This window comes from Homo sapiens, chromosome 19 (assembly GCF_000001405.40).
Source record: "Homo sapiens chromosome 19, GRCh38.p14 Primary Assembly".
NCBI lineage: Eukaryota > Metazoa > Chordata > Mammalia > Primates > Hominidae > Homo > Homo sapiens.
This window is the reverse complement of record NC_000019.10, coordinates 45,228,341-45,240,535: the sequence shown is the minus strand read 5'-3', so window position 1 is coordinate 45,240,535 and position 12,195 is coordinate 45,228,341. Positions and strand designations below refer to the sequence as shown.

The 12,195-nt window shown below is 51.3% G+C and overlaps 1 protein-coding gene and 1 pseudogene across 1 annotated transcript in view; both read left to right on the top strand.

The window, feature by feature from the left end:
• EXOC3L2 (exocyst complex component 3 like 2) overlaps window positions 1-12,195 on the top strand; it is a 33,038-nt gene that overhangs the window by 4,872 nt on the left and 15,971 nt on the right. Inside the window, exons 2-4 of the mRNA NM_001382422.1 lie at window positions 1,475-2,013; window positions 5,710-6,343; window positions 8,662-8,773. Of these exons, the coding sequence (NP_001369351.1) occupies window positions 1,491-2,013; window positions 5,710-6,343; window positions 8,662-8,773 (1,269 nt within the window). The 5' untranslated portion in view covers window positions 1,475-1,490. The remainder of the gene's footprint in view (window positions 1-1,474; window positions 2,014-5,709; window positions 6,344-8,661; window positions 8,774-12,195) is intronic.
• Window positions 5,727-6,341, top strand: LOC100420902 (exocyst complex component 3 like 4 pseudogene; annotated as a pseudogene).

The window sequence follows — 12,195 nt, the reverse complement described above, 5'->3', positions numbered from 1 at the left end:
TCCAGAGTGTCTTCCTTTCCCCAAAAGGAAACCCTGCATCCATTAGCAGCCACTCGCCATTCCCCGTTCTCTCCAGTCCTATTGTCAGTCTCCTTTCTGTCTCTAAGGATTTGCCTAGAGACCTGCGAGGTGATTTGCACCTGTAATCCCAGCACTTTGGGAGGCAGAAGTGGATAGATCCCTTGAGGCCAGGAGTTTGAGACCAGCCTGGGCAACATAGCAAGACCCTGTCTCAATAAATAAATAAATAAATTAATTAATTAATTAAGTGGGCATGGTGGTACACACCTGTAGTCCCAGCTGCTGAGGAGGCTGAGGTACGAGGATCATTTGAGCCCAGGAGTTTCAGGCTGCAGTGAACTATGATGGGGCCATTGCACTCCAGCCTGGGTGACAGGGTGAGTCCCAGTCTCAAAAAAAAAAAAAAAAAAAATTAGGCTTTGCCTATTCTAGACATTTCCCAATAAGTTTTTGCTGAAGAGATGAATGAGGGAGAGATGACAAGGGTACAAATCAAACAGGAGAAATGAAGGGGATGAGGGGGTGTAGGCAGGTGCTCAGGAGTCTGCCCTGGACGTCTGGGTGGATGGTAGGGCCTGAGTCCCCATATCATCTCTGCCCTTGACTGACTGTGTCATCTTGGGAGGGAGCCTTCCCCCCTCTCAGCCTGTTTCTCCACGGAGTAGGAGGATCAACTTAAGATAGAGAATATTCCAGGCCAGCAGAGGTGGCTCACTCTTGTAATCCCAGCACTTTGGGAGGCTGAAGTAGGTGGATCGCCTGAGTCAGGAGTTCAAGACCAGCCTGGCCAACATGGTGAAACCACATATCTACTAAAAATATAAAACTTAGCCTTGTGTGGTGGCGCGCGCCTGTAGTCCCAGCTACTCCGGAGGCTGAGGCAGGAGACTTGCTTGAACCTGGGAGGCGGAGGTTGCAGTGAGCCGAGATCGTGCCACTGCACTCCAGCCTGGGTGACAGAGTGAGTGAGACTCCATCTCAAAAGAAAAAAAAAAAAGAGGCAAGGCGCGGTGGCTCACGCCTGTAATCCCAGCACTTTGGGAGGCCGAGGCAGGTGGATCACAAAGTCAGGAGATCGAGACCATCTTGGCTCACACAGTGAAACCCCGTCTCTACTAAAAATACAAAAGTTAGCCGGGCGTGGTGGTGGGCGCCTGTAGTCCCAGCTACTCAGGAGGCTGAGGCAGGAGAATCGCGTGAACCCGGGAGGCGGAGCTTGCAGTGAGCTGAGATCGTGCCACTGCACTCCAGCCTGGGCGACAGAGCGAGACCCCGTCTCAAAAAAAAAAAAAAAAAAAGTCCCCATCTTATAAGCTTGTGCAGATCAAGGGCTTATTAAGTGCTCAGGCAAGTGTCTGGTACGCTCACCCCAAAGTGCTCGGTACACAGAGGCACCGTCATCCATACCACCATTGTCATCAGCATCGCCCATGGTCATTATTTTTTTCCCCAGGTCCCCACCTGTCAAAATGCCTATCCTGAAGAATCTGGGAGTGTCAGACCCTAAGGTGCCCCGGGCGGGGACCCTGCCCCTGAGGTCCTCTCGGAACCCCTTTGAAGAAGTTTCAGGGCTGGAGGAAGAAGAGGCCGGGGAGCTGGGGTCCCTCCCCAATGGAACATCTTGTCGCCGCCGCGCCACCCTGGAGAAGCTTGCGGGCCTGGCCCCCTTCCGGCTGGGCTGGGCCCCGGGCCGGCGGGCAGGCAGCCCTGGGGATGGGCAGCCCCGCTCTTTCTTGGGCCGTGTGCTGGTACCAGGGATACGCAGGAGCTCAGCAGATTTTGGCCTCCTGGCCCGGCTGCATGGGACCCGAGCCCACGGCGACGAGGAGGCAGCGGGGGAGGCCGCCCGGAGACTGGCCTTCCTGAGACTGGGGCGTGGATCCAAGCCCCAGCGTGCGTCCCTGGCTGAGAGAGTGGTGCCTGCAGGCGAGGCAGCTCCAGAGCCCCCACCCAAGGTCCCAGAGCCCCCAAAGATGAAGGAGCCATTGTCAGGTGAGTCCGGAGCCCTGACCCTGTCCTGGGAGAATCCCAGTGCCCATGTCCATCCCCAGCCCTGGTGGTCCCAGGCTTCATACTTAAGCCCATCCCAGCTACCACCTGTGACCCCGACCTGCAATTCACATGTCTAACTCACATCTCCCACCTCCATGCCAGCTCCAACCCATTACCACTGCAGTCCTAATCCCTGTCGTCAACCTTTCTCTTCAGTGCCACCTGTTAATATATGCCCACCCTCAATCTTTGCCTCCTCCACCTGCCGTCTTCAGCCCTACTCCCATGTCTAAAGCCAAGGGAATACCTGATTTTGGTCCCATCTCTCCCCCTTCTCTTTCTATCCCCAATTTCTTCAATTTCTTTATTTTATTTATTTTATTATTATTATTTTTTTGCCTCTGTCGCCCAGGCTGGAGTGCAGTGGTGCAATCTTGGCTCACTGCATCCTCTGCCTCTGGGGTTCAAACAATTCTCCTGCCTCAGCCTCCCGAGTAGCTGATATTACAGGCATGTGCCACCTGGATAATTTTTGTACTTTAGTAGAGGTAAGGTTTCATCATGTTGGCCAGGCTGGTCTCAAACTCCTGACCTCAAGTGATCTGCCTGCCTCGTCCTCCCAAAATGTTGGGATTACAGGCTTGAGCCACGGCGTGTGGCCAATTTCTCCTTTTTATGAGGACACCACTCACATGGGATTCGGGTCTGCCCTATGATCTCACTTTAATTTGATTGCCTCTGTAAAGACCCTATTTCCAAATCAGGTGACATTCTGATGTACTGGGGTGAAGACTTCACATATCTTTTTTTTTTCTGGGGGGACGTAATTCAATCCCTAACACCACCCTGTCTTCATCCTCAGTCCCCATTCCTACTCCAAGCCCCAGTGTCTTCCTCAGTGCCTTTTCTGTTCTCACCCCACACTTATTCCAAGCCCACCATCAGTCTCTATCTGAGACACATCCGTATGCTTCTCGTACAGCTCATCCTTTCCTCCAAATGCCATCTAGTTTTGGAGACAAGGTCTCGCTCTATCACTCAGGCTAGAGGCTAGAGTGCAGTGGTGCAATCATGGCTCTCTGCAGCCCTGACCTCCTGGGCTCAAGCAATCCTCCCACCTTAGCCACCAGAGTAGCTGGGACTACAGGCACATATGATCACACCTGGCTAATTTTCACATTTTTTGTAGAGATGGGGGTCTCGCTATGTTGCTCAAGTTGGTCTTGAACTCCTGGCTTCAAGTAATCCTCCTGCCTCAGCTTCTCAAAGTGCTGGAATGACAGGCATGAGCCACTGCGCCTGGCCTAAACGCCATCTTTAATGTCATTGTCTATGTCCAACACCATGGCAACCCCCAACTGGTCCAGCCCCGTTTCATATCCCATTCTTCCCCATGTTCACCTTCCACCCTTTTAAACTCTTTTGGTCTCACTCTTAACCCCCAACCCCAGGCCCCTCTCAGCACCCACCTTCCACCCATTTCCCTCTGGCGACCTCCTTTTTTTTTTTTTTTCCTTTGAGACAGGGTCTCACTCTGTTGCCCAGGCTAGAGTGCAATGGTACAATCTCAGCTCACTGCAACCTCCGCTTCCTGGGTTCAAGCGATTCTCCTGTCTCAACCTCCTGAGTAGCTGGGATTACAGGCATGCATCACCATCCATGCCTGGCTAAATTTTTTTTGTATTTTTTGTAGAGATGGGGTTTTGCCATGTTGGCCAGGCTGGTCTTGAACTCCTGATCTCAGGTGATCCACCCGCCTCAGCCTCCCAAAGTGCTGGGATTACAAGCATGAGTCACCGCACCTGGCCATCAACCTCCTTATTCAGTCCTATTTGAGTTCCTAGTTCTTCCTCAGCCCCCAGTTTCAATTCCAACTCCAAACGCAACCTCCTCTTCATCCCTAATCTATCTTCACCCCTATCCTGAGTCCCAGTCCTAAACCCCCATCCCCAACCTCCATTTTCAATTCCATCCATGTTCCTATTCCCAAGCCCAACTCACTTCCACAATTCATCTTCAAACTCACATCAATCTTTTTTTTTTTTTTTTTTTTTTTTGAGATGGAGTCTAGCTCTGTCATCCAGGCTGGAGTGCAATGGCAAGATCTCAGTTCATTGCAGCCTTCGCCGCCTGGGTTCAAGCAATTCTCCTGTCTCAGCCTCCTGAGTAGCTGGGACTACAGGAATGCACCACCATGCCTGGCTAATTTTTGTATTTTTAGTAGAGACCAGGTTTCACCATATTGGTCAGTCTGGTCTTGAACTCCTGACCTCAGGTGATCCGCCCACCTTCCAAAGTGCTAGGAGTACAGGCATGAGCCACCGCACTCGGCCTTCACATCAATCTTTATGTCCTTTCCATCCTCAGCTTTCACCTACATTCCCCTCCCCCACCTCTCCAACCTCATCCCTACCCAGACCCCAATGTCATTCTTGCCTCTTTCCCATTTCTGTCCAGACTCCCACCTGACCTCATCCTAACCCTAAACTCCCTCATCCCAACCCCCACCTTCACCCCATCCTCACCTCCGGCCCTATCCCCATCCGTGTCCCAATCCCCATCTTAATTCACCGCCACCCCCAACCCTGCCTTTATCTCTGCTCCCGTGCCTGAGCCCGGCTTTTAGCCCCGAGGCCCGAACTGCTCCAGGGCTGGGGACCTCAGGAGAGCCTTTTCTGTCCTCTGATGCCCTCCACGTTCTGGCCAGAGGCTATTTCAGCCCCAGCTCCCTGGGGACTGGGAGGGCACTGGAGGGAGGTGAGGAGGGGGTGACTAGAGCCCCGCCTTCTGGAAACGGATGGGCAGAAATAGCGCTGGCCAGGAAATAGTTTCTCTGCCAGGGAGGAAGTGGAGGGGGGTGGAGGTGTCGAGGGTAACCCTGGGCTGCCAGGACCCTCCTTCAGCCTCAGAGGCCTTCCAGCCCGACTCGCCTTTCTCGAGGCAGTCTGAACTCATCAGAGGGCCAGATCAGCCCACAGCCATCCCCACCCCAAAAAGACCCCATCAGTGGTCCCATATCCTCTCCCCATCTCCAAGTCACCACCCTGCCCCTCCTACTCCCACCGGCTGCCTCCATCTCTCTCCCCCTTACGTGGCTCCTCTCTCAACCTTCTCGCCTCCTCCGACCCCTCCTCCATTTTTCCGCCCTGCAACCTCCCCAGATCCCCTCCTCAGTCACAGGCATTTTTCTTTTCCCCCTCTCTCTTTTTTATTTATTTATTTTTGAGATAGAGTCTCGCTCAACATGTTGCCCAGGCTGGGGTGCAGTGGCGCGATCTCGGCTCACTGCAACCTCTGCCTTCCGGGTTCAAGCGATTCTCCTGCCTCTCGAGTAGCTGGGATTATAGGTGTACGCCACTACGCCTGGCTAATTTTTGTATTTTTAGTAGAGACGAGGTTTTGCCATGTTGGCCAGGCTGGTCTTGAACTCCTGACCTCAAGTGATCCGCCGGCCTCGGCCTCCCAAAGTGCTAGGATTACAAGCATGAGCCCCTCACCCTGACCCCTCCCCTACATCCTTCACTCAACATCCTTCTTTCTTGCTCTTCTCCGGGCTCTTCTCTGCCCCCACACTTTCCCGCCTCCTGTAACCCTTTTCCCCTCATCTCTCTCCCCTTCCTAAGCACCCCCAACCCCGCGTCCGGCATCGCCCTCCTCCCCCCCGCGCACTGCTGACCTCCCGCTTTGCTCCCGCAGTGCTGGAGATCCTGAGCCTGATCCAGCAGCGCGAACTAGCGCGTGCGGACGAGCACATCCTGGAGCTAGAGGCCGAGGAGCTGGCGCCGTCGAGGGGCGGCGCGCCTGGGCCTCCCAAGGCCGAGGGCGCTGGCGGGGGCCGCCGGGCGCGGGACGTGGCGCTGCTGTACGAGGCCCTGCAGCGCGAGCTGTGGGCGCTGGTGCGCGAGACGCTGGCGGGCCCCGGGCCGGGAGCGTGCGCCGGGGCTGGCGCGGTGGCGCAGCTGGGCCAGGTGCTGGTACAGGAGGAGGCGGCCGACGGGCGTCGGGGTCCCGGGGCGGCCCGCAAACTACGCGCACGCTGGGCCGAAGCCGTGGCGCGCGCGGCCCGGGAGCGCCTAGAGGCAGCGGCTCCCGGGGCGCCCGGGGGCCTGGCCGGGCAGCTGGAGGCGCTGCGGGCGCGGCTGCTGGAGGATATGGCCGTGGTGCGGGGCCGCCTGGCGCCCGCCTACCCCGCCGGCCTGGGCGCCTTCGGCGTCTACCTGCGCGGCTACCACGGGGCCCTGGCCGAGTGGCTGGGGGCCTCCGCCCGTCGCAGGCTGCCGCTGGCCGACCGCTACGCGCTGCTGCACTGGCACAATCAGGTCTACCCCAGGTAAGCTGGACTCAGTTGCCCAAGGTCACGTGAAACCCTCAGCCCTACCCCCTAGCACTGGCTTCTTCAGACCTTAAGGACCTTGGGACAGCTGACCCTACAGTCCTAGCACTTTAACACCATTAACCCATCCAGTCGTCAGCACCGCTGACAGTTACAATCCTAGACTCTCACTGCTACCGAGGCTTCCGGTTCCAGCACCTTAGTACCATGGACGCTTGCAGTCCTAGAATAAGAGCTCCGGCACCACTGTGGTCCAAAAACCTCAGCGCTCTGTCAACACTTACACTCTAGATCGCCTCGCTGTCCACCCTTCCAGTCCCCGAATCTTAGCACCATTGATTCCTCTAGTCCTAGAACCTTTGCGTTGCTACTTTTCCGTTCCTAAAATCTCAACACCATTCATTCTTCTAGACCTACATACAACCTTAGCATCATCGACAGTTACACTCCTAGCATCTAAGTAACACTGATGCTTCCAGTCTTAGAATCCTAGCATTCCCACCCTTTCAGACCTAGAACCTATTGGCACCATTGACTCTTCCAGTTCTACAATTTTAGCACTATCGACAGTTTCAATCCTAGTAGCTCAGCACGGTGGGCCCACCAGTCCAAGAACCTGGGCTTCATGACACTTACGCTACTAGAATCTTAGCTGTTCACCCTTCCAGTCTTAGAGTTTTAGCACTGTTGACCATTCCTTCCTAGAACCATAGCCCCACTGACCCTTCACCTTAATACAATGACACTTAGAATTCTAGAATCCTACACTGCTTTCTCTTTAGAGCCTAGGGCATTAGTACTGTTGACGTTTCCAATCTTAGAACTTAGAATGTATGGTGCAACCATAGAAGCTTAGTACCAATGAAGCTTTGAATCCTAAACCTTAGCCTCATTCCCTCTTTTGGTCTTAGAACCTCAACACTGTTGATCCTTCTAGTTTTAGGACGTTATTTATTTATTTATTTATTTATTTTGAGACGGAGTCTTGCTCTGTCGCCCAAGCTGGAGTGCAGTGCTGCAATCTCTGCCAACTGCAACCTCCGCCTCCCGGGTTCAAGTGATTCTCCTGCCTCAGCCTCCCGAGTAGCTGGGATTACAGGCGCCCACCATCATGCACAGCTAATTTCTGTATTTTTAGTAGAGACGGGGTTTCACCATGTTGGCCAGGCTGGTCTTGAACTCCTAACCTCAGGTGATCCACTTGCCTCGAACTCCCAAAGTGTTGGGATTACACGCATGAGCCACTGTGCCCGGCCTAATTTTTTTGTATTTTTAGTAGAGGCGGGGTTTTACCATGTTGGCCAGGCTGGTGTCGAACTCCTGACCTCAAGTGATCCACCCACCTTGGCCTCCCAAAGTGCTTCGATTACAGGTGTGAGCCACCATGCCCGGGCCAGTTTTAGGACTTGAGTGCTGTTTGCCCCTTGAATTCTATAAGGGTAGCACCCAGAACCTCAGTACCATGGTCCCTCTCAGTCCTAGAATCTTATTACTGTTGAGACTTTGTGTCCTAAAACATACCCATTCTTGTGGCCGGGGGATGGACTATGGTGATTAGCCACCTCCAGGTCACCTGTCTACCCCAGAGAAAAGGGAGTTAGCCACATCCAAGCCACACGTTGGACAGTGAAGGGGGTGGGTGGTTCTTCCAACAAAATCAGGATGCTGTCACCGGAAGACTGGGAAGGCAACAGATACCCACATTGACCACATAGATCTCATTTGGGAATGTATGTCAATAATGCTCTCATGTTATCTATAAGGGATGGAGGCAGGATAGGGAGTCCGGAAAGCTTCCTAAAGTGGTGGGAACTGGGTTTGGTCCAATTTGTAGGGCAATGGTGTTTATAATTGAGAGGATGCCATGAGCCCAAGTCTGGGGTGTTTGGGGGTGGATATTGATGATATCACATAGCTCCAGGCATGTAAGCTCGTAGAAGGTGGGGAGAGAGGGCTGGACTGGGGAAGCCTCCAAGGCCAGGTAAGGCAGCAGGGCCTCAGAGCATAGGTGCAAAGGGAACTTCTGTCTGGTGAAATGGATCATGGGTGAAGCCTTGCATGTCAGATCTTCAAGCCTGGACTTGACCCCTAAATATCATGCCGGGACACCATCCATCAGGGAGCTGACTCAGAGAGCTGGAGCCGGGGAAGCAACAATTCCAAAGACTTCCTCTGAGGGATGAGCAGAGATGACTTAGAGAGAGGAAGGGAGTGGCCCAGGGTCACAGAAACAGTGGGTAGGAGGGTGTGGGGAAGGTTCCAACTGCCCAGCCCCACTTTTCACAGACCTCCTTTTCTCTCACCCCCATCCCCAGAGAGGTCCTAGGGCTGGTGGACATGGCCGCCCTGGAGAATGGGGAGCTGGGGCCCCTTCTCTCCCCTGGCACCCTGCGGGGTTTGGAGGATGAATGCGTCACAGATGTTAAGGTACCTGGAACTTTGCATTTTGGAAGCAGGAGGTGCTGTGGAGGGAGGGGGTCACAGTGGGCTTGGGAAGCCTGTCCCCTCCACCTTTCACTCTTTCCAACTCCCTTTTCCCTTTACGAACTTCTGAGTTCTATCCATGTGCCATAGACACAAAGGCCGCTGTACAGAGACACTTGGTAAAGGTTCAGTATATCTGGACACTTCAAACCTTAGAGTACAAGAAAGTTAGTCACAGAACTACAGCTCACAGGCCCAAAGACTCACAGAAGTATAGCATCAAAGATTTTTTTTTTTTTTTTTTTTTTGAGGCAGGGTCTCGCTCTGTTGCCAGGCTGGAGCATTGACCTCCTGGACTCAAGCGATCCTCCTGCCTCAGCCTCTCCAGTAGCTGGCACCATAGGCACGTGCCATCAGGCCTGGCTGACAAAGATCTTCACATATAAGCAGGGCTGGTAATAAACATGGTTAATTACTGAACCTGCACAGACACCGCTGAGCAGAATGGCCCAGCCATGCACGCCGTCCCCGGCTACAGTGATGTTTGCTGTCTCAATTCCAGTCCTACTTCCAGCCACAGAAATCAGTCAATGCTACTTAAGAGCCTAGAACCATAGAAAAGAGATCTGGATCCTTAAACTCATCAAATTGAGGATTATACTTTTTTATTTTTTTAATTACAGATGTCTCCCTCTTTTGCCCAGGCTGGAGTGCAGTGGCATGATTACAGCTCACTACAGCCTCGAACTCCTGGGTTCAAGGGATCTTCCCACCTCAGCCTCCTGAGTAGCTGGGATTACAGGCACACACCACCATGCCTGGATAATTTAAAAAAAAAAAATTTGCAGAGACAGGGTCTTGCCATTTTGCCCAGGCTAGTCTCAAAATCCTGGCCTCAAGTGATCCTCCAGCCTCAGCCTTCCAAAGCTCTAGGAGTATAAGCATGAGTCACCCCAGCCGAGACAACACATTTGATCAGAGAATCAGAGATGTGAGAACCTTTGCAGCCCAGCCTTTGGAGTTCTTGAAACACAGAATCTGAGAATCTTAAACTAACTGTTTGGCAGAACCTGAGAGCAGAGTCTTGGGACCAAAAGACAATAAAACATAGACCCTTGGCCGGGCGCGGTGGCTCACACCTGTAATCCCAGCACTTTGGGAGGCTGAGGTGGGAGGATTTCTTGAGGCCAGGAGTTCAAGACCAGCCTGGACAACATAGCAAGACTGTCTCTGTTTTAAAACTTTTGTGGCCGGGCACAGTGGCTCACGCCTGTAATCCCAGCACTTTGGGAGGCCGAGGCGGGTGGATCACGAGGTCAGGAGATTGAGACCATCCTGGCTAACACAGTGAAACCCCGTCTCTAGTAAAAATACAAAAAATTAGCTGGGCATGGTGGCGGGTGCCTATAGTCCCAGCTACTCTGGAGGCTGAGGCAGGAGAATGGCGTGAACCCGGGAGACGGAGCTTGCAGTGAGCCGAGATCGCACCACTGCACTCCAGCCTGGGCGACAGAGCGAGACTCCATCTCAAAAACAAAACAAAACAAAACAAAAATGTTTTGTAAAACATTTTAAAAGTTAGCTGGGTGTGGTGGCACGTGCCTGTAGTCTCAGCTACTCAAGAATCTGAGGCGGGAGGATTGAGTCCAGGAGTGTGAGGCTGCAGTGAGCCATGATGGTACCACTGCACACCAGCCTGGGGGACAGAGCAAGACGTGGCCTCTAAAGAAAAACAATATTTAATATAAATAATACTTCATACATATCATAATATGTAATAATAGGATTTATATTTAATATAAATATTAAGTATACATTATTTGTGTATACATATTAACATATAAATGTGTATATTATAAATAATATACAATAATATATTATATTATAGCTTTATTTATAATGTACACATATATATATTTTGAGACGGAGTTTCACTCTTGTTGCCTAGGCTGGAGTGCAGTGGCACAAACTCGGCTCACCGCAACCTCCTCCTCCCGGGTTCAAGTGATTGTCCTGCCTCAGCCTCCCAAGTAGCTGGGATTACAGGCATGCGCCACCATGCCCGGCTAATTTTGTATTTTTAGTAGAAAAGGGGTTTCTACATGTTGTTCAGGCTGGTCTTGAACTCCCAACCTCAGGTGATCTGCCCATCTTGGCCTCCCAAAGTGCTGGGATTACAGGCATAAGCCACCGCACCTGGTCACATGTATCTATATTATTTATAATATATTATTTATAATATGTATTATTGATTTATATTTAATATTTATATGTTAATATAGATTACATATTTCATGTGCTATAGTATATAATACATACTAATTATTAATATATAAATAACGTATTATGAATTATTAATATACACATTATATAGCTTATACTAATATTTAATATATAAATATATTACATATATAACATATATTTAATACATAAATATATGTATATATTTAATACATAAATATATGTATATATTTAATACATAAATATATGTATATATTTAATACATAAATATATGTATATATTTAATACATAAATATATGTATATATTTAATACATAAATATATGTATATATTTAATTATACACACACGTGCACACACACACAATTAAGCCCTTGCTTATTAGATGGAGGAAGCTTAAAACCATGGACTAATTTTATTTTATCTATTTATTTATTATTTTTTAATTTATTTTTTTGAGATGGAGTCTCACTCTGTTGCCCAGGCTGGAGTGCAGTGGCACAATCTCGGCTCACTGCAAGCTCCGTCTCCCGGGTTCACGCCATTCTCCTGCCTCAGCCTCCTGAGTAGCTGGGACTACAGGCGCCCACCACCACGCCCGGCTAATTTTTTGTATTTTTAGTGGAGACGGGGTTTCACCGTGTTAGCCAGGATGGTCTCCATCTCCTGACCTCGTGATCCACCCGCCTCGACCTCCCAAAGTGCTGGGATTACAGGCGTGAGCCACCGCGCCCAGCCTATTTTATTTTTATTTTTGAGTTGGAGTCTCACCCTGTTGCCCAGGCGGGAGTGCAATGGCATGATCTCCACTCACTGCAACCTCTGTCTCCCAGGTTGAAGCAATTCTCCTGCCTCTGCCTCCTGAGTAGCTGGGATTACAGACACGCACCACCACGCCCAGCTAATTTTTGTATTTTTAGTAGAGACGGGGTTTCTCCATGTTGGCCAGGCTGGTCTTGAACTGTTGACCTTAGGTGATCCGCCAACCTCAGCCTCCCAAAGAGATTACATGTGTGAGCCATCGCGCTTGGCCAAACCAGACTTTTAATATGAAGTTCCAAACCACAGAGTTAGGAGTGGGAAGGGCTGCAGAAGTTTTCTGGCTCAGCCTCCCTCCCCAGCATCACCTTGACAAGCTCATAGGTAGAATCCAGAACTGCTTGGGGTTAAGGGCTAGGGGATTGTGG